The sequence below is a fragment of the Homo sapiens genome, chromosome 3 (assembly GCF_000001405.40).
Source record: "Homo sapiens chromosome 3, GRCh38.p14 Primary Assembly".
NCBI classification, from domain to species: Eukaryota; Metazoa; Chordata; class Mammalia; order Primates; family Hominidae; genus Homo; species Homo sapiens.
Window position 1 is genome coordinate 177,225,868 of NC_000003.12, and position 22,820 is coordinate 177,248,687.

At 43.7% G+C, this 22,820-nt stretch overlaps 1 long non-coding RNA gene across 1 annotated transcript; it reads left to right on the forward strand.

Moving 5' to 3' along the window:
• The first annotated feature begins 519 nt into the window (after positions 1 to 519).
• On the forward strand, positions 520 to 22,766 carry LOC107986053 (uncharacterized). Its single transcript, XR_001740576.2, has 3 exons — positions 520 to 572; positions 4,523 to 4,610; positions 22,701 to 22,766. It is a non-coding gene; the product is annotated as an uncharacterized LOC107986053 (long non-coding RNA).
• Positions 22,767 to 22,820: the final 54 nt, after the last annotated feature.

The following is a 22,820-nucleotide window of genomic DNA, read 5'->3' on the forward strand; positions in this document are numbered from 1 at the left end:
ACAGGGTTTCACCATGTTGGCCAGGCTGGTCTTGAAATCCTGACCTTGTGATCCACCCTCCTCGGCCTCCCAAAGTGCTGGTATTATAGGCGTGAGCCACCGTGCCCAGCCAACATTTTAAGCTTCTAAACACATTGTACAACTAAGTTACTTTCAACATTAAAGAGTTGATCTATTTTTAAAAATATATAACTTAGGATGGTAAGATACAATTTTTTTACACATCCTGTCATTAAACAGTTGTATTTTAAGTGACGATTTTCTGAAGTTCCTGACAGTTCAGGAGATTTTAAATATAGAAGGGATGGTGATGGTAAGCCTTTCATTCAATTAATTGATTCTCCTACAAAGTTTAGCAGATATTCTCAATTTCAAAGATGAAACCAATTTTATTCCTTTGCAGTCAGCTGTTAACAGTTGCCCATTTTAGGAGACAAATACATACAAATGAACTCTTGGTGTTCTTGAGTACATATGGGAGAAGCAGAACAAAGCAAAGTTCCCTTTTTGCCTTACCAGGTGGATTCAATAATCCAAGAAGAATGGGACTGGAGCTGATTTCCTCATGAGCTGTGAGTCTTTGAGCAATTTACATAACTAGTCTAAACATTTAATCTCTTTGTTTGTTAACTGAAGGTAATATCTTCCTTGCAGAGTATTTGTAAATATTATAAATATTATATAAATTATGAATCATATTGTTTTTCACAGTAGATGTTCAATAAATGGTAGCTGGGTACCTGAGTGCTTATCTCATTTTCCTCCCTCCACAGATGATAAATTCCTTGTGAGAATTACAGCCCCTGGTAGTAGTGATCAACAAATATTTGTTGAGTTGAAAATGTCGCTTTTTAAAGGCTTTTAAAATAATCTTTCCTGTAGAATTTTAGACCTTTGCAAATGACTTATTTTTCCCTTCAACTTATTTTATTTATTTATTTTTTGAGTTAGAGTCTTGCTCTGTCACCCAGGCTGGAGTGCAGTGGCACAATCTCGGCTCACTGCAACCTCCGCCTCCAGAGTGAAAGCAATTCTCCTGTCTCAGCCTCCCGAGTAGCTGGGATTACAGGTGCGCACCACTGTGCCGGGCTAATTTTTGTATTTTTAGTAGAGATGGGGTTTCACCATGTTGGCCAGGCTGGTCTCGAACTCCTGACCTCAGGTGACCCACCTGCCTCAGTCTCTCAAAATTACTGGCATTACCAGCATAAGCCACTGCGCCCTTCCCCTTCGACTTCTTAAAATCTAATTTCCTGGTATCTAAAAGCACATTTGACATCATTGGCTACCGCAAAATCTAAAGTGACCTGGACACTTTCTCCTCAGACCCAAAATCCATTTTACAACTAGCTTCTCTTTTTCTGGCTAGACTTAAATTCAAAGTAGCAGTTATCCCGGTTGTTTCTTCTACTGTGTAAGAGATTAAATTGTCAGAAAAAGAAGTTACTAATTAATCAGATGCTTTGCTTTTTGCCACCGGGAAACCTCCAACAGATGCCCTGATGGCTGAAGCCCCATTTATTTATTTATTTTATTTTTGTTTGAGAGAGGATCTCACTCTTATCCAGGCTGGAGTGCAGTGGCGCAATCATGGCTCACTGCAGCCTCGAACTCCTGGATTCAGGTGATTCTCCCGCCTCAACCCTGAGTAGCTGGGACTACAGGCTCACACCACAACTCCTGGGTAATTTTTGTATTTTTTTGTAGAGCTGGCATTTCACCACGTTGCCCATGCTGGTCTCAAAGCCCTGGGCTCAAGCAATCTGCCCATCTTGGCATCCCAAAGTGCTGGGATTACAGGTGTGAGCCAGCACACCTGGCCGGAAAACAAATTTTTTAAATGACTTTTAAAAATAGAGTTGCTTTGTTGTTGCTCTTCTTCCTCCTACTTCTAGCAATGTATATTTACAATATTAGGATAATGTCTTTCTTGACTCTTCCTTTGTACTGTTGCCTTCAATCTTACCTGATTGCTGTGGTTAGAAAGGCACTATACCTACTTTCAAACTGGGAATAAGGCATAGGGTGCTGCCAGTCACATCACTTTTTTTTGTTGTTGTTGTTTTTGAGACAGAGTCTTGCTCTTGTTGCCCAGATTGGAGCACAATGGTGCAATCTCAGCTCACTGCAACCGCTGCTGGCTTGGGCAGCCTGCTTTTATTCCCTTATCTGGCCCCACCCACATCCTGCTGATTGGTCCATTTTACAGAGAGCTGATTGGTCCGTTTTACAGAGAGTTGATTGGTCCGTTTTGACAGGGTGCTGATTGGTGCATTTACAATCCCTGAGCTACACACAGAGTGCTGATTGGTGCATTTACAAAGCTAGACATAAAAGTTCTCCAAATCCCCACTAGATTAGCTAGACACAGAGCACTGATTGGTGCATTTACCAACCTTCAGCTAGACACAGAGTGCTGATTGATGCGTTTACAAGTTTACAATTCCTGAGCTAGACACAGAGTTCTGATTGGTGCATCCACGAACCACCCCCCCCCCCCCCCCCCCCCCGAGCTAGACACAGAGTGCTGATTGGTGCGTTTACAATCCTCCAGCTAGGCACAAAAGTTGTCCAAGTCCCCACCAGATTAGCTAGATACAGAGTGCTGATTGGTGCATCCATGAACCCCAAGCTAGACACAGAGTGCTGATTGGTGCATTTACAATCCTCCAACTACACATAAAAGTTCTCCAAGTCCCCACTGGACTCAAGAGCCCACCTGGCTTCCCCTAGTGGATCCTGTGCTGGGGCCGCAGGCGGAGCTGCCCGCCAATCCTGTGCTGTGGGCCCGCACTCCTCAGCCCTTGGGCCGTGGATGGGACCAGTGCCACAAGCAGGGGGCAGCACCTGTTAGGGAGGCTTGGGCCTCTCGGGAGCCCACCGCAGGGAGGTGGTTGAGGCCTGGCAAGAATTCGAGTGTGGCCCGGGTGGGCCAGCAGTGCTGGGGGACCTGGCGCCTCCTCCCAGATGCTGGCCCCAGTGCTAAGCCCCTCACTGCCGCTCCGAGTGCGGGGCCCACCCAGCCCACGCCCACCCGGAACTCACGCTGGCCCAGGTTCCTGCCCACGCCTCTACCTCCACACCTCCCCACAAGCAGAGGGAGCCGGCTCCAGCCCCGGCCAGCCCAGAGAGGGGCTCCCACAGTGCAGTGGCAGGCTGAAGGGCTCCTCAAGCGCAGCCAGAATGGGCGCCAAGGCCGAGGAGGCACCGAGAGCGAGCGAGGGCTGCCAGCACACTGCCACCTCTCACTATTATTATTATTATTTTTTTTTCTTGAGACAGAGTCTTGCTCTGTCATGCAGGCTGGAGTGCAGTGGCCTGATTTCAGCTCACCGCAAACTTTGCATCCCGGGTTCAAGCGAATCTTACGCCTCAGCCTCTTGAGTAGCTGGGATTACAGATGCATGCCACCATGCCTGGCTAATTTTTCTATTTTTAGTAGAGATGGGGTTTCGCTGTGCTGGCCAGTCTGGTCTCGAACTCCTGACCTCAAGTGACCCGTAGGACACTATTTTAAACAGAGCTGTATTAACACATTCTTTCCTTCCGATGTTGCTCCACCTCTTCCCTGTCTACATTCTCATGTTCTTTCTCTTAAGTATTCCACTCACAATGTTGTTTTCAAAATATTCTACTCCAGGAAAATACCTCTATCTACGTTTTTTCTCTGTCTCTATGGTTTTGTTAAAAAGTACTCTTCATCTTTTATAAATCTGTCCCAATTCGGCTTTGACCCTATCTCTCCCTTTACTTTCCTAACTCTCAATTTCTTTCTTTCTTTTTTTTTTTTTGAGACAGAGTCTTACTCTGTTGCCCAGGCTGGAGTGCAGTGGTGTGATCTCGGCTCACTGCAACCTCTGCCTCCTGTCCTAACCCTAAATTTCTAATATTAGTCATTTTATTTTTTGTTTCCAAGTTTTACTTTATGACTTCAGATACATCAATTGGATTCTTATAAAACATTATCATCTTGCTACAGAAGTCATATGATCTCACTGAACATTTACAAGAAAAATTCTCAAGCTCCTGTGTTTACATGTGACCACATTGATTCTATACAATCCTTTTTGGAAGAGGGGAGTGTTGTGTTATAAATAGCACACAGAGACATGACAGACAATTAGAGGCATTGAACAGGATGGGTTGTTGTGCCAAAGGGGTTACGCAAGGCACAGAATACAAAGAAAATATGCTGTGAATGTTGAGAAGAAGATTGGGTTTGAAAGCTAACAACAACAACAACCACCACCAAAAAAAAAAAAAACATAAAAAAAACAGAAATAACTCCATGAAGATGAAGATGGCATTATAGCATTTTTCTTCCCTGCACTTACCTTCTTTTTTTTTTTTTTTAGAGACAAGATCTCACTGTCACTCAAGTTGGAGTGCAGTGGTACAATCATAGCTCACTGTAACCTTGAACTCCTGGGCTCAAGCGACCCTCCCACCTCAGCCTCCCAAGTAGGTAGGACTCTAAGCATGTGCCATCATATCCCACTAATTTTTTTTTTTTTTTTTTTAGAGACAGGGTCTCACCATTTTCCCAGGTCGATCTCAAACTCCTAGACTGAAGCCCTGCACTTACCTCCTAACACACTCTATACTAGAAGGTAAGCTCCATAATGCAGGGATTTTTTGTTATTGTTTTGCCGTTTAACTTCTAAATCCTCAGCAGGGCCTGGTGCAGAGTAGCTCCTCAATAAATACTTGTTGATTGAAGAGCATGTGAATGAATGAATGAGTGAATGCAGGAAATGGTAAGATCAGCATGACCGAAGCCGTGTTCCAGTGGGGCTGGAGTAGAAAATGGAGTTCGTTGTAAGAATGTTGGAGTGCGACAAAGGAGTTTGTAGCTTTACTTTAGACAATGGGCAAGAGGGGAACCTGATGAATTCCTCGGGTCACCTTACCTCATTTCCATACTTAGTGTAATTACTCCAAAGAAGTTGGAAAGGAGATAAAAATGCAGAAGCAGACCTGGGTTCTTTATCAGGAAAGGATTATTTGCTGATGGAGCTGATTGGAGAGGCCGTGAGATGTGATTGAGCCAGCTCTGCATAGCTGGCTTGCTGCTCCCCAGGAGACTGAAGTTGGAGCCACAGATCAGTCAGAGAATGTGGCCACTGATAGACATTAGAATATTCTAGGGACAAGTTTCTTTTTCTGGACCTAGGGGCCGTATCTCTCACGTATGCCCATTGGTCTCCACTCTTAGGACTTTTTTTTTTTTGAGATGGAGTCTCACTCTGTCGCCCTGGCTAGAGTGCAATGATTCGATCTTGGCTCACTGCAACCTCTGCCTCCCGGGTTCACACAATTCTCCTGCCTCAGACTCCCGAGTAGCTGGGATTACAGGCACCCACCACCACGCCTGGCTAATTTTTACATTTTTAGTAGAGACAGGGTTTCACTATGTTGGCCAGGCTGGTCTTGAACTCCTGATGCCTGCCTCAGCCTCCCAAAGTGTTGGGATTACAGGTGTGAGCCACCGCACCCAGCTTTACCACTTTTACTCTAATCTTCATAGCCTCTCACTGGTGGATTCCTAAAATTATCTCTTAAAAGATTTCTCTACTTCATCTCTACTTCCTCTTTTTTTCCACTGCGACACCACACAAACACAAAATCTATTCTCTCACTGTCCTAAAGGACTGCTTTTAATGTTGTAATTTTCCTGCTTTAGGGTCATAATAGATCTCTAGTAAATATCTATCTAATCTATTCCATCTATAGGTTTAGCTTTCTCTCCCTTCCTTCCCCCTTTCTCCAACTCTCTTTAACCAATAATCAGTCTTCTTTATACATATTTAATGTTTCTATTGTAGTCAAACAGAGCTACTCTTATTGATTTGTTAATACACAAGTGAGCCAGATATTGTCTATTGGCATCTAGCACTTTTTACAGTCTTCTATCTCCCCTGTTTTGCAGGGGCTGGAAATCTGGGAACATGTCTCATACTCCCTTGCCAGCACAGTTTCAGACATAGCTTGAGTTCTGCCAATCAGATATACTGGTGAGAGATTTGGAAGGCAGAAGAGAGATGGCAACCACCATTGGCTTTTTCCTTTGTTACTGGTGATGGGCAGCCCTTGAAGTCAGCAGAGTCTCCAGCAGCCTCCGGATGCTAGGAAGCACCCGGTCAAATTTCTACTTATTAAGAAAAAGAGGGCCAGGCTCGGTAGCTCACACCTGTAATCCCAGCACTTTGGGAGGCCAAGGCGGGGGGATCACGAGGTCAAGAGATCGAGACCATCCTGACCAACATGGTGAAACCCCGTCTCTTCTAAAAATACAAAAATTATCCAGGCGTGGTGGTGTGTGCCTGTAATCCTAGCTACTTTGGAGGCTGGGCAGGAGAATTGCTTGAACCTGGGAGGCGGAGGTTGCAGTGAGCCGAGATCACACCACTGCACTCCAGCCCAGGTGACACAGTGAGACTCCGTCTCAAAAAAAAAAAAAAAGCCCTCAAAGACCTAAATATCTTGATATCCCTGTGAATGTATTTTTTAATCTAATTATCTGGAAAATCTTGTCTATTTTACATTTTAGGTGTGTAGAGTAGAATCATCATTAAAAGATATTTTTAAAATGTTCCCAAGTATATCCATGTAAAGAATCCAGTGTCCCTCTTTAATTTCCCCATTCAGATCAATATCTATTAAAGTAACACATTTGATATTTCTATAATATTTAATATAATACCAAATGAGAAAAACAGAAAAGTAACATTACACTAATATGATTTAAAGAGCATTTAATTATCTAATATAATTATCTCTTAAGCCCCAATTATAATATATTATTATCCTTACCAAAAAGCCAACTGTCTTGAGTCATAGCTAAAAGTGGTAGCATTATAAAAGAAAAAACATTTGATCTGATAGCCAACTACCTATTTACTATTTAAAAACACTTTAGGCTGGGTACGGTGGCTTATGCCTCTAATCCCTGCACTTTGGGAGACCAAGGCGGGTGGATCACTTGAGGTCAGGAGTTCGAGACCAGCCTGATCAACATGGTGAAACTCCATCTCTACTAAAAATACAAAATTAGCTGGGTGTAGTGGCAGGCACCTGTAATCCCAGCTACTCAAGAGGCTGAGGCAGAAGAATTGCTTGAATCCTAGAGGGGGTTGCAATGACCGCACCACTGCACTCCAGCCTTATTGACAGAGTGAGACCCTATCTCAAAAAAAAAAAAATTAAAATTAAACCCTAAAAACACCTTAATGTCCTCTGAGTTTCTGCACTATTCCTTCCAATGTCAAATAAAGATAAAGGAGAATGTCAAGGCATACAAATGTATTAATGATAGCTGAGTTCTACTCTGACTTATTTGCTCCTTCTGTATCTTCCCTGGTGAGCAATATCTGGCACATCCTTACACAAAGCCATCTTGCTTCCTAGCCCACTACATTATGCCAGTGTTACTTTTACTGCATTATTGTTATGGTTGATAACACTTTTTTTCTTCTTTTTTTTTTTCTTTTTTTTTTGAGATGGAGTTTCGCTCTTGTTGCCCAGGCTGGAGTGCAATGGTGCAGTCTTGGCTCACCACAACTTCTGCCTCCCAAGTTCAAGCGATTCTCCTGCTTAAACCTCCCGAGTACCTGGGATTACAGGCACGCGCCACTACGCCTGGCTAATTTTTGTATTTTTAGTAGAGACTGGGTTTTGCTGTGTTGGTCAGGCTGGTCTCGAACTCCCAACCTCAGATGATCTGCCTGCCTCGGCCTGTGAAAGTGCTGGGACTACAGGCATGAGTCACCGTGCCCAGCCCCAACAATTTTTGTTGGTAACATTTTGGATCTTTTTTATTTTTTCTTTTTTTTGAGACGAGGTCTTGCTCTGTCGCCCAGACTGCAGTGCAGTGGCGTGATCTCGGCTCACTGCAAGCTCCGCCTCCCGGGTTCACGCCATTCTCCTGCCTCAGCCTCCCGAGTAGCTGGCATCACAGGCGCCCGCCACCGTGCCCGGCCAACATTTTGGATCTTTTAAACCTTAAGTATTTAATGTTTTATAGGTCGATTCTTGTCTTTTTTTCTTTTCTTTTTTTTTTTTTTTTTTTTGAGACAGGATCTCATTCTGTCACCCAGGCTAAAGTGAAGTGGTGCAATCATGGCTCACTGCAGCCTCAATCTCCTGGGCTCAAGCGATCCTTCCACCTTGGCCTCCTGAGTAGCTGGGACTACAGGCGCACACTATCATGCCAGACTAATTTTTATTTTTAAATTTTTGGTAGAGATGAGGTCTCACTGTGTTGCCCAGGCTGGTCTCAAACTCCTGAGCTCAAGTGGTCTGCCTGCCTCAGCCTCCCAAAGTATTGAGATTACAGGCATGAGCCACTGTGTTTGGACTATAGGTTGATTCTAAAAGATGAAAAGTAATAAACAGCACTTAAGTTATCATGACTATGTAAATATTATTCACTGCAGAGATAAACAATGTGATGTATTTCCTGCTCTATTGTTCCAATATGACAACACTGGTAATAGTCAAAGAATGAATACAATGAATTCTCCCTGTTCCAATCTACCAAATGCTCAAAATCATGGCACATTTAAAAATATTAGCATCGCACCTTTTCTCACGGAGTTTTGTTTTTGTTTTTCCTGAAATTTTAATTACATTCCTCTCATTCTTTTTTACTGCTTTGTGTAAGAGTCTATGGCATAGATGCTCTATAATTTAGTTCACACTCCACTATTGTTGAGCATTTAGGCTGGTTTTTCATTTTTTCCTACTATGAATGATGCTTCAATGAATATCCTGCCCGTACATTTTTGTGTACATACAAATTTCTGTAAGATAAAAAGCTAGAGCTGGGTTGAAGAGAATATGCATTTTAAGAACCACTGACAAATAGCCCTCAGAAAGAGGCACTGCCATCTATATTCTCACCATCACTGTAAGGGAAGGTCTATTTTTTTTTTTTTCTTTGAGACAAGAGTCCCGCTCTGTCACCCAGGCTGGAGTACAGTGGCGCGATCTCGGCTCACTGCAACCTCCGCCTCCTGGGTTCAAGCGATTCTCCCTGCCTCAGCCTCCCGAGTAGCTGGGACTATAGGTGTGCGCCACCACTCTGGCTAATTTTTGTATTTTTAGTAGAGACTGGGTTTCACTATGTTGGCCAGGCTGGTCTCGTACTTCTGACCTCGTGATCCACCTGCCTCGGCCTCCCAAAGTGCTGGGATTACAGGTGTGAGCCACCATGCCGGGCCTGGTATAATTCTGTATAGTGTTTCTTAGACTCCTATTAATCATTTTGATTTTTGCCATCTATCTCATCGCTGTTTTAATTTTTTTTTCTTATTACTGAGGTAAAAAATCTCTTTGTAAGCTAATTGGCCTTTGGTATTTCCTCTGCAGAGCATTGATTTTTGGGGTTTTTTTGTTGTTGTTGTTCTTTTCTTTTCTTTTTTTTTTTTTTTTTGAGATGGAGTCTCGCACTGTCGCCCAGGCTGGAGTGCAATGGCGCGATCTTGGCTCACTGAAACCTCTGCCTCCTGGATTCAAGCGATTCTCCTGCCTCAGCCTCCCAAATAGCTGGGATTACAGGCACCCACAACTACGCCCGGCTAATTTTTGCATTTCTAGTAGAGATGGGGTTTCACCATGTTGGCCAGGCTGGTCTCAAACTCACAACCTCAAGTGATCCGCCCGCCTCAACCTCCCAAAATGTTGGGATTACAGGCGTGAGCCACCATGCCCTGCCTTTTTTGGTCTTTTTTAATGTTTAGGGTTCCTTATGTATTGTGAACATTAATTCTTTTTTGTGTTGAACAAGTTGTAAATATATTCTCCCAGTATATCAATTGTCTTTCAACTTCGTGGTGTCTTCTGTCAAAGAGAAGCTTTAATATTCATATAGTGAAAAAATCACTCTTTTAGGCCAGGCACAGTGGCTCACGCCTGTAATCCCAGCACTTGCGGAGGCCGAGGCAGGCGGATCATGAGGTCAGGAGTTCAAGACCAGCCTGACCAACATGGTGAAACCCTGTCTCTACTAAAAATAGAAAAATTAGCTGGGCATGGTGGCCTGCACCTGTAATCCCAGCTACTGTGGAGGCTGAGGCGGGAGAATTACTTGAACCCGGGAGGTGGAGCTTGCAGTGAGCCAAGATGGCGCCACTGCATCCAGCCTGGGCAACAGAGTGAGACTCCATCTCAAAAAAAAAAAAAAATCACTCTTTTTTTCCCTATAGGTTTTATACTTTGTGTTGCTTAAGATGGGCTTCCCTAGCCTAAGGTTAATAATCATGCTTTTCTCTGTGTTAGAAAATACCTTTATAGGTTTCTTTTTATATTTGGCTCTTTACCCCATCTAAAATGTTTTGTTTGTACATGATGAGGTAATTTTCTTCATTCTGTATGTGTGTATGACAAACTACAAATTCTCCAGCTCATGAGCAGAAAGGTGGTATGGTAACAACTTTTCCCTGCAATTCTTTTTTTTTTTCCTTTTTTGAGACAGAGTCTCACTCTGTCGTTCAGGCTGGAGTGCAGTGGCATGATCTCGGCTCACTGTAACCTCTACCTCCTGGGTTCAAGCGATTCTCCTGACTCAGCCTTCCAAATAGCTGGAATTACAAGCACACGCCACTAATGCCTGGCTAATTTTTGTATTTTTAGTCGAGATGGGGTTTCACCATGTTGGCCAAGCTGGTCTTGAACTCCTGACCTCAAGCGATCTACCCATCTTGGCCTCCTGAAGTGCTGGGATTCCAGGCGTGAGCCACTGCACCCAGCTTTCCCTGCACATTTTAAATTATCCCTCCCTCTCCTCTCTCTTTGTCTCCTACACTGAAGGCAACACTGGTCAATGTGTGACACACTTCAATAGGCCTTTCTAATGTTATGAATAATCCCAGCACCTACGAAATATCCATTTCTCTCTTTCTGTAGAAGCCACCATTAGGGCTTACCCATGTCTAGTTCTCCTCTCATCCTAGGGCACATGGAAGACTGCACTTCTCAGATCCCATGCTTAGTTAGTTGTGACTAATTCTGGCCAGTAACTTCTGAGAGGAAACAGTGCATCATTGACATATCATTTCAGGCTGAGGAGTGGAGCCCCACCTGATCTTACAGTTTCTTTTCTGAACTCTTGCCTTGGGACAATGGCGCCTGTGTATCAAGACACTGTAAGGAGGGCAGGTGACCTGCTGACCTGCTCAGATGACTTGGTGTAAGTGAGAAATAAACTCTTTTGTGCTAAGCCACCAACATATTTTGCTTGTTTGTTACCATATCAGAAGGCAAATGAGTAAAGTATGACACTATTTCCCAGTCAACCTTGATTCTGCTATTTTATTTTTTGGTCGACAGTTTACAAACTTTAATCCTTTATCATTTGAAACAAGTCATTAGCAAAGTATCTTGCAACTGATCTGAGAAATACCAATATCATTTATCCATTATTTAGCGATGTTAATTGTGCATAAACCCAGAACCAGGCTCTGTGAATAAGACGTGAGTACGAGAGACCTGGCCTGTCTCCTCATGGAACTTGGCAGGGATCTCACAGAGAAGGCTGTGCAGGGAGTGGTTAAGGGTGTGGCTTTGGAGTCAGATGCTCTACATTTGAATCTTGGCTCTGCCTCTTACTGGCTGAGTAAATTTAGGCAAGTCAATTAACCTCTCAGTGCTTCATTTCCTAATCAATACAATTAAGAGTACATGAGGTGATGCATGTGAAATATTTACCACGGGGCTTGACAAGCAATAAGCACTAAACAAGTGCTAGTTATTATCACTATTGCAACCACGGGACTAGAATACACCCAGGTGTGTTAGGGGTAGATAGAACTATACTCCAAAAACATAAAGCCAATGTTACCGCATCACAGTCCCAGCCTAGTAATTCACCTCATGCTTCAGCATGGTATCCTCACCATTAGAAAACTAGCAAAATAGTTCTAAGGCAGTAAGAAGCAGGTATTATAAAAAGCACCTTGTGCTGTCATTCCTCTCTCTCTCTCTCTCTCTCTCTCTCTCTCTCTATATATATATATATATATATATATATTTTTTTTTTTTTTTTTTTGAGGTGGAGTCTTGCTCTGTTGTCCAGGCTGGAGTGCAGTGGCAGGATCTCAGCTCACTGCAACCTCTGCTCCCAGGTTCAAGCGATTCTCCTGCCTCAGCCTCCCAAGTGGCTGGGATTACAGGCATGCACCACCACGCCCATCTGGCTTTTGTATTTTTAGTAGAGACGGGGTTTCACCATGTTGGCCATGCTGGTCTCGAACTCCTGAACTCAGGTGATCTGCCTGTCTCGGCCTCTCAAAGTTCTGGGATTACAGGCATGAGCCACTGCGCCTGGCCCATTCCTATATTTTTAATGTTTTAACTTTTAGTATTCCAGGGCTCTGACTTAATGAAAGATATTCTATTTTTAGATAGCCTTTAAAAAATGACATCTAGATCATGGCCTCTGAAATTCTTAGTATGTGTGTATATATATATATATTTGAGACGGAGTCTCGCTCTGTCACCCAGGCTGGAGTGCCGTGGTGTGATCTCGGCTCACTGCAACCTCCACCCCCTGGGTTCAAGCAAGTCTCTTGCCTCAGCCTCCCAAGTAGCTGGGATTACAGGTGCCCGCTACCACACCCAGCTAATTTTTGTATTTTTAGTGGAGATGGGCTTTCGCCCTGTTGGCCAGGCTGGTCTCGAACTCCTGACCTCAGGTCATCCACTTGCCTCGGCCTCCCAAAGTGCTGGGATTACAGGCGTGAGCCACCATGCCCGGCCAGTATATGAATATAATAAGAACTTTGTATATTTAGTTTGGGGCTAAATATTGCATATATACGTATGTACTTAAACTCGTATAGATATACACATATCTAAATGGAGCACTTTCTATAGAGAGAGCCAGATTTGTTTTGAACCCTGAACTTTACATGTTGCTGTTACCCAAGATCACAGAACTAGTCAGTAGCAGAGACAAGATTAGAATCATAAAATGAGCAAATGTTCTTTCCATCACAACCCTGTCTCATAGAAGAAATAACCACCTTTGACTTACTAGGGCTGCAGTCAAATTGGAAAATATAGTAATATATTGCACAGGCACACATTTTTATTGCTAGACCGTATAACCTTATCTTCAATGGAGGTTTCAATATTTTCTCAGTAATTACAAACCACTTCCTTTGTGTACCACTATAGCTAAATTATTAATAAGCACAGTAGACAGCAAGATCTTTGGTAGAGCTGTAGATCTAATATTGGGTCAATTACAGAATCTCACTCCTTTCCTCTTACAAAAAACTGTTATACCTTTTTATTATTGTATCCCTTTGTACCATGTCCTCTGAAACCACTAATCAAATCCCTAAGGGAAAGAAAAATGAACATGTATTATGATATTCACATTTATATGCTAGGAAGAGTCTTCACATAAGCACAGACATTCAACAAATACACCGTCAATTCAAATATAGACATGGTGCATAATTTTATTTCAGCTTTATGAAACCCTCAAGAGCTCACAGAAAAGCATGTAAAGCATGTAACCTTCTCATCATCTTTATTCTTGTTTGGGTTGGTATTTGGTTCAACAAAGAATCAATGAACTGTAACAAATTGCCAAAACCAAAAAAACCTCTGGTTTTATATGTGAATGTGTTGTGTGTATGAGTTGATTATTTGTTGTGAAAATATGTGAAATATGATTAGAAAACTTTTGAAAAAATTCCTATGATCTCAATTACCCAGAGAAACCCACTGTCAATATTTTGATGTATATACTTCAGAAATTTTTTCTCTGTGTGTATATGTAATGTGACTATATTTTCATGCTAAAAGTGTACATCTGTATCATCATTCTTAAAGGCTACATATTTTTCCTTTGTATCATAACTATGTACTATAATTTATATATTCAATATCCTATTGTTGGTCAATTAAGTTGTTTCCAATTTTCACTACCATAAATACCCCAGTGGAATTGCTGAGTCAGATTCTTCAGAATAGGCTATCAGGACTATTCAAGGTAAAGGCATGTAAGTAGGTCCTCTGTATTTCTTATTTTTTAAATTATTTATTTATTTATTTATTTTGAGACGGGGTCTCGCTCTGTCGCCCAGGCTGGAGTGCAGTGGCACAATCTTGGCTCACTGAAATCTCTGCCTCCCAGGTTCAAGCCATTCTCCTGCCTCAGCCTCCTGAGTAGCTGGGACTACAGGCGCCCGCCGCCACGCCCGGCTAATTTTTGTATTTTTAGTAGAGACGGGGTTTCACCATGTTGGCCAAGATGGTATCGATCTCTTGACCTCGTGATCCACTTCCCTCAGCTTCTCAAAGTGCTGGGATTGCAGGCGTGAGCCACCGCCCGCATCAGGTCCTCTGTTTCTTAGTGTTCAGCCCGTGGACCCTTCATTCCTCTCTCCCTCGAGTATGGTCATGTTGAAGGAACATGGATAAGGGAATCCACGGCATATGGATACTTGGATTCCAACCTCAATTCTGATTACTAATTAATTTTGTGAAAGCCATTTCCGGTCATTTGCCCTGTAGAGTGGAAGAACTGAACTAAAATGGAGGTGCAACAGGTCAGATGATCATCAGAATTACCAGAGAAATTTCATATATGTTCCTGGGTCATGACTTACAACTTTTGAATCTAAATCTCCTCAGTAGCACTTGAGACTCTGCATTTTCAAAAACTCACTGAGTGCTTCCAAATGCATTTCAGGTGGGGACCCACTAACCCCGGTTGCACCAAGGCCTCTCCTGCTGGAGCTCATTCATCTTTTATGCTCCCTTCTCCATTCGCCTAAATCCCCTATAGTCTTCCCTGCGGTCCAGGAAGGTTGTGTTTAATAGTACAGGAAAAACCGTGCTCATGCCTGTAATCCCAGCACTTTGGGAGGCTGAGGCGGGTGGATCACAAGGTCAGGAGTTCAAGATCAGCCTGACCAACATGATGAAAACCCTTCTTTACTAAAATGAAAATACAAAAGTTAGCTGGGCGTGGTGGTGCATGCCTGTAATCTCAGCTACTCAAGAGGCTGAGGCAGGAGAATTGCTTGAACCCGGGAGGCAGAGGTTGCAGTGAGCCAAGATCGCGCCACTGCACTCCAGCCTGGGTGACAGAGAGAGACTCAGTCTAAAAAAAAAAAAAAAAGTACAGGAAAAACATTCAAAAACAATACATTAATTAAAAACAAAACTCTTGGCCAGGAGCGGTGGCTCACGCCTGTAATCCCAGCACTTTGGGAGGCCAAGGCGGATGGATCACCTGAGGTCAGGAGTTCAGACTAGCCTGGCCAACATGGTGAAACCCTCTCTCTATTAAAAATACAAAAAAATTAGCCGGGCATGGTGGCGCATGATTGTAATCCCTGCTACTTGGGAGGCTGAGGCAGGAGAATCGCTTGAACCCAAGAGGCAGAGGTTGCAGTGAGCGGAGAGTGCGCCATTGCACTCCAGCCCAGGCAACAAGAGTGAAACTCCATCTCAAAAACCCCAAACTCTTGCCTGTAATCCCAGCACTTTGGGAGGCTGAGGCGGGCGGATCACCTGAGATCAGGAGTTTAAGACCAGCCTGGCCAACGTGGTGAAACCCCCTCTCTACTAAAAATACAAAAAAATTAGCAGGGCATCGTGGGGCATGCTGTAATCCCAGCTAATCAGGAGGCTGAGGCAGGAGAATCGCTTGAACCTGGGAGGCAGGGGCTGCAGTGAGCCGAGATGCTGCCACGGCACTCCAGCCTGGGCAACAGAGCAAGACTGTCCCCAAAAAATAAATAAATAAATACAAACTCTTGAACCATTTTTAAGAAGCAATTAAAACCAAGATAATAAAATAGTCTTTCTGCTACTTGTTGATTTACCTGTCGTCCAATTTAATAAAGTGTTGGTTTTAAAAATTACATTTTATTCTTTTTCAAAGTCTGATTGAAATGTTTCTTGTTGTTCAAGCAGATGCCACAGGACAAATGGCAAATAAGCTGCCTAGATTACAATTGAAAAGTTCAAAGTAACTTGCAGTTCCTAAAATCTATGATTTTATTTCAGATAGTCTTATAGATGTTAGAAAAATGCACACACAATTGGCAGGTCTAACTCTCTATGGGGAACATACTAACATAAAAGGCTTATTAAAATGCAGCTGTTTTTTGGAAAGTGACATATAATACACTGATTCAAAGGTACAGCCAGTCAACCAATACTAATTTAGAACACAAGGTTTATCTAAGATCTCTGCTTTCGAGTGTCAGTTCAGTGGAGCTAGGCTTAGAAAGCATATGTAGTATTTTCATTTTATATTCTTAAATAAGTGCAGATAAGATATTCCTAACTCTCTTCAGTTCCTTATTAGCCTTTTTTTTTTTTCTTTTTTGAGATGGAGTCTCATTCTGTAGCCCAGGCTGGAGTGCAATGGTGTGATCTCGGCTCACTGCAACTTCCACCTCCCGGGTTTCAAGTGATTCTCCTGCCTCAGCCTCCCAAGTAGCTGGGATTACAGGTGTGCACCACCATTGCCTGGCTAATTTTTTATTTTCAGTGGAGACAGGGTTTCGCCATGTTGGCCAGGCTGGTCTCAAACTCTTGGCCTCAAGTGATCCACCCGCCTCAGCCTCCTAAAGTATTGGGATTACAGGCCTGAGCCACCACGCCCGGCCCCTTATTAATCTTTACAACTCCATGGAAAAAGACTAAAGTCAGTGATTCAGAGTGGAAACTTAGAATCTATGCCTAATTTTAAAAATAAATAGTAATGGAATTTAATTTTCTTTATGGCTATCATAAATTGAAGATTATATCTTTTTTTTTTTTTTTGAGACAGAGTCTCACTCTGTCGCCAGGCTGGAGTGCAGTGGCGTGATCTTGGCTCACCGCAACCTCTGCCCTCCTGGGTTCAAGTGATTCTCCTGCCTCAGCCTCCCGAGTATCTGGGACTACAGGTGCGTGCCACCATGCCCGGCTAATTTTTGTATTTTTAGTAGAGACGGGGTTTCACCATGTTGGCCAGGATGGTCTCAATTTCTTGACCTCATGATCCACCGGCCTTGGCCTCCCAGAGTGCTGGGATTACAGGCATGAGCCACCACGCCCGGCCAGATTATACCTATTAATGCTTAAAGGACAAAAGGAGACAACAAGGATTTGAGACCAGAAAACATATTACCTTAAGTGAAACAAGCTTTATTATTTCAATTTATCAATTAAGACATGTTTAATCATGAGATTCTAACAAAAATCTGAGCCCTTGATTCAGAGATCATACTACCATGATAATATCTGCATTTTCAGTGGATACTTAACAATGTAAATGAATTAACACTTTCTATCAAATATCAGCCCTGTAATGGATGATTATTCTTACACAGTATTCTCTTCTGCACTCTCATTCTAATTTGTATCATCTGATGCAATAAACTCTTTGGCCCAGAATTAGTAATACAATAAAATCAAGCCATTTTAGAAGGCTCTTAAGGTGCTGAGTTGTTTTCTAGGTTGTACTTTACTTAAAACGTGATATTCCAGAACAGAGGTGCCAAAGGTTGCTGTTGCTGAGAGTCATTTATCTATAGCCTCAATAACAAAGCTAGTGTTAGATATGAAATCATTCATAATACTTCTCAGCAAAGAAAGTATACTCGAGGGCTCCAATTTAAGCCCTTATAGCAAAAAGAAACCGAAACCTAGAATTGGAATTGTCTTGATAGCCTCAATTTACTATTTGAGGGGTTGGAGTGGAAGAGATAGGATTTAATTCTCTTTCCACAGGGAAAGAGAAAACTGTCATGAAGTTAAAAAGTCATAGACCAAAAGTTCTTCCCCTTTCGTGAGGGGAAACTACCGTAATTCCCCCAAAGTGCAGAGACCTTCCTTCTCAAGTGAATGGAGCAGACAGAAACCATGCCAGCTTTGTTCCTTTCTCCTGGAATCCTAGGGGTGTGGAAGAAGTGGTGTGGTAGTAATTGTGTGGTTTTTTTTTTTTTGGTATGTCTTTGAGAAAAGGACCCTTGAAATATAGTGAGTCAGCCAGGCATGGTGGCTCACGCCTGTAATCCCAGCACTTTGGGAGGCCAAGGCAGGAGGATCACTTGAGGTCAGGAGTTTGAGACCAGCCTAGCCAACATGGTGAACCCCGTCTTTACTAAAAATACAAAAATTAGCTGGGTTTGGTGGCACGTGCCTGTAATCCCAGCTCTGTCTAGGTTCAGTCCTCCTGGGTTAAAGTGATTCTCCTGCCTCAGCCTCCACAGCAGCTGCGATTACAGGTGCCCATCACCGTGCCCGGCTAATTTTTGTACTTTTAGTAGAGACAGGGTTCACCATGTTGGCTAGGCTGGTCTCGAACTCCTGACCTCAAGTGATCCTCCTGCCTTGGCCTCCCAAAGTGCTGGGATTACAGGCGTGAGCCACCATGCCCAGTCTTTTGTTTCTTTTGAGACAGGGTCTCACTCTGTTGTCCAGGCTGGAGTGCAGTGGCACAATCATAGCTCACTGCAGCCTCGGCCTCTCGGGCTCAGGTGATTCTTCCACCTAGCCTCTCAAGCAGCTAGGACAACAGGCATACATCACTACGCCAGCTAATTTTTTTTTATTTTTTGTACAGATGAGGTTTTGCCATGAGTGCTCAAGCAATCTACCTGCCTTAGCCTCCCAAAGTGGTGGGATTACAGGCATAAGCCACCATGTCCAGCCCAAAGCTAGTTTTAAATACGTAGTAATACCACTCATCGAGCTGCTTGGTGATGAAGCCCCATTAAAATGACTCCTAGGCTCCAATTTAAACTCAGATAACAGAGAAACCTCAGATTGGAATTAGGGGAGGTGGAAGCTCTGCTCTGTGCAGTCACTTAAGAGACCTTCTTTCCGAAGTCTTTGCAATACCCAGGAAGTCAGAGCCCTCCAGCACAGCCTCAGATAAGGGACAAAAGAGAGTGGATGTAGAAAGCACACCTGTCAACTGCCATGGCCCACAAGTGCCTCCCATCGCCCTGCTCACAACGCACTGGAGAGAGAGCTCTCTATGGTCCCTTCCTAGATTCAAGGCACATGGGCTATGCAAGCCAGCAGTGTGCCCAGGAGGGCAAGAACATGGCAAATGGGAAGCAGCTAGCCAATCTCAGAAATTCTCAGTAAATATTTGTTAGATTAAATGAACTACTTCTTATGTATTATTATAATTTTTTTTTTGAGACAGAGTCGTGCTTTGTCGCCCAGGCTGGAGTGCAATGGCACAATCTCCGCTCACCACAACCTCCGCTTCCTGGGTTCAAGCGATTCTCCTGCCTCAGCCTCCCAAGTAGCTGGGATCACAGGCATGTGCCACTACACCTGGCTAATTTTTTTGTATTTTTAGTAGAGATGGTGTTTCACCATGTTGGCCAGGCTGGTCTCGAACTCCTGACCTTGTGAACCGCCTGCCTTGGCCTCCCAAATTACTGGGATTACAGGCGTGAGCCACCGGGCCTGGCCCTAAATGAACTACTTCTTTCTGACTTCTGTATATTGAAATGAATCATCCTAGACCTTACACTTAGACCTTGCTAAAGCTGTGGTAATAGCTCCCTGTTTATAGCTCCCGGAAAACATCTGTATGTAACAAGAAAGTCTTGGTGACACAATTCCTTAACCCAAGACAATGGATTGAGGATGGTGAGAAGGGAGTAGACCTGACCTATACCCTCTGAAGTGGCATTTATATATGCAGTACTTGACTATTGTGACTACTAATATATTTTTACCTCTCCGGGAACAGCAACTCCCATGAAGTGTGTATTATTTATTTAACACTTATGTAGCGCTTGTCCTCTTGCAGGAAATCTTCAAAGCATTTTACTAATGTGAAATGGTTGAATTCTCATAAGCCTATGAGGCACCGTTTAGCTCCATATTGTAGTCGGGAAAACTGAGGCACAGAGAAAACAGGAAACTGCCTAAGAATAATAGCTCATAAACAATGGGGCAGAGTTTCAAAACCAGAGAGTTGGGTTCCAAAGACTGAGCTCGTAACCACCATACCATGCTATCTGTCCTCATGTAAGCCTCTCCCTCTCTTTTGCCACGCTTGAGTTTGCACTCCGGGATATCATATACACAAGTACGGGTTTGGCTAACATTTTTATAGAGCCACTGCTCTTTCATATTGTTTCTAGTTGGCAGTTACAAATAGAAATGGAGCCTGATGGCCAGGCACGTTGGCTCACACTTGCAATCTCAGCACTATGGGAGGCCAAGGTGGGCAGATTACTTGAGGTCAGGAGTTCGAGACCAGCCTGGGCAATATGGTGAAGCCCCGTCTCTACTAAAAATACAAAAATTAGCTGGGAGTAGTGGTGCATGCCTGTAATCCCAGCTACTTGGGAGGCTGAGGCAGGAGGATGGCTTGAACCCGAGAGGCAGAGGTTGCAGTGAGCCGAGATTGTGCCACTGCCCTCCAGCCTGGGCGACAGAGCAAGACACCATGTCAAAAAAGAAAGACAGAAAGAAAGAAAGAAAGAAAGAAGGAGAGAACGAGAGAAAGAAAGGAAAAAAGGAAGAAAGAAAGAAAGAGAAATGGAGCCTTATAAACATACATTTCAGGCTCAACAATCAAATTCCAGAAATCGGCCGGGCGCGGTTGCTCACGCCTGTAATCCTAGCATTTTGGGAGGCCGAGACTGTAGATCGCCTGAGGTCAGGAGTTTGAGACCAGCCTGGCCAACATAGTGAAACTTCATCTCTACTAAAAATACAAAAAAATAGCTGGGCGTGTTGTCGGGCACCTGTAATCCCAGCTACTTGGGAGGCTGAGGCAGGAGAATTGCTTGAACCCGGGAGGCGGAGGTTGCCATGAGCTGAGATCGCGCCACTGCACTCCAGCCTGGGCAACAAGAGTGAAACACCGTCTCAAAAAAAAAAAATTCCGGAAATTCTTAATACATTTCCCAATTCATGTTATGTCATCAGACTTAAACAATGAAGAGAATTCCAGGCTCTAAGAACAAGCCTTTTATCCTTACCTTACAAATTATATTTCATTCATTCATTTATTCATTTTATTCAACCAATATTTATTAAATCCCCTCATAAGCCATAAGAGACAATTGTGAGCAAAATAGACGTTGTCCATCCTGTCATGAGCCTTGTGGCCATACTTGAATCAAATATGCTTACAAATGCACAGAAAATTACGACTGTAAAAGTTCTGTGAAAAAGTGTAATCATATAAATTTGCATGATGGGGAATGCAAATAAGTCTGAAGAGGCTTACTTCCCTAAAAATGTGACATTTGAGTAGGAGTTAAATAAGTTGAGGGAGGCATGAGAAGGGAAGACTATTTCAAGCAAAAGAAATAACCTTTGTAAAGGTTCTTCAAAAGGAAGAAGATAGTAGTTTGGAAGGAATTGAAGAAAGACAAATGTGAGAGGCAGTCAGTGAGCACAGGAGAGGGAGGCATAGGAAGATTAGGGTCCCAAGGGGGTTCTCAGGTCACAGTGAGGACTTTGGTGTTTTTCCAAGAGCGGTGGAAATCCAATGAAAGATTTTAAGTGGGAGGGGCCAGGCGCAGTGGCTCACGCCTGTAATCCCAGCACTTTGGGAGGCCCAGGCGGGCAGATCACGAGGTCAGGAGTTGGAGACCAGCTGGCCAACATAGCGAAACCCCGTCTCTACTTAAAATACATAGCGAAACCCCGTCTCTACTTAAAATACAAAAATTAGCCATGCGCGGTGGCTTACGCCTGTAATCCTAGCACTTTGTGAGGCCGAGGCGGGCAGATCACGAGGTCAGGATATCGAGACCATCCTGGCTAACACGGTGAAACCCCGTCTCTACTAAAAATACAAAAAAATTAGCCGGGCGTGGTGATGGGCGCCTATAGTCCCAGCTACTTGGGAGGCTGAGGCAGGAGAATGGCGTGAACCCGGGAGGCGGAGCTTGCAGTGAGCGGAGATCGTGCCACTGCACTCCAGCCTGGGCAACAGAGCGAGACTCTGTCTCAAAAAAAAAAAAAATTAGCTTGGTGTGGTGGCGCGTGCCTGTAGTCCCAGCTACTCGGGAGGCTGAGGCAAAAGAATCGCTTGAACCCGGGAGGCGGAGATTGTGGTGAGCCAAGATCGCGCCACTGAACTCCAGCCTGGGCAACAGAGCGAGATTCTGTCTCAAAAAAAAAAAAAAAAAGGCCAGGCACAGTGGCTCACACCTATAATCCCAGCACTTTGGGAGGCCAAGGCGAGCTGATCACCTGAGGTCGGAAGTTCAAGACCAGCCTGGCCAACATGGCAAAATCCCGTCTCCACCAAAAATACAAAAATCAGCTGGGCGTGGTGGCGGGAGCCTGTAATCTCAGCTACTCGGGAGGCTGAGGCAGGAGAATTGCTTGAACCCAGGAGGCGAAGGTTGTGGTGAGCCAAGATGGCACCATTGCACTCCAGCCTGGGCAGCAAGAGCGAAACTCCGTCCCTGCCCGCCCCACACGCCCCCCCCCCACCCCCCCCACAAAAAAGAAGAAGAATTTAAGCGACGTGATCCTTTGCATTTTAGAAAGATCTTTCTGGCATTCAGATTTCAGGGGTACATAGTGGAAACAGGTAGATGAGTTAAGAGGCCAGTGCAATGGTCCGTACATACTTACATTTATGCAACTGGCCACTGAAAGTATGTGTGAAGTTGTCCTTACCAATCCCCCTTGAAACTCAAGATACAATAAGAAATTTTCCATACTGACTTGTATTTTGCTTGTTTCAGCATGGATGGCCCATCTTTCCTTGGAAAAGACACCTTTAGGACTCCAAGTGTAAGAAGGCATTTTGCGGGTATATCTTCTTTTCCCATTATAATTTAAGATTGATAACATGGAAGCAGCAG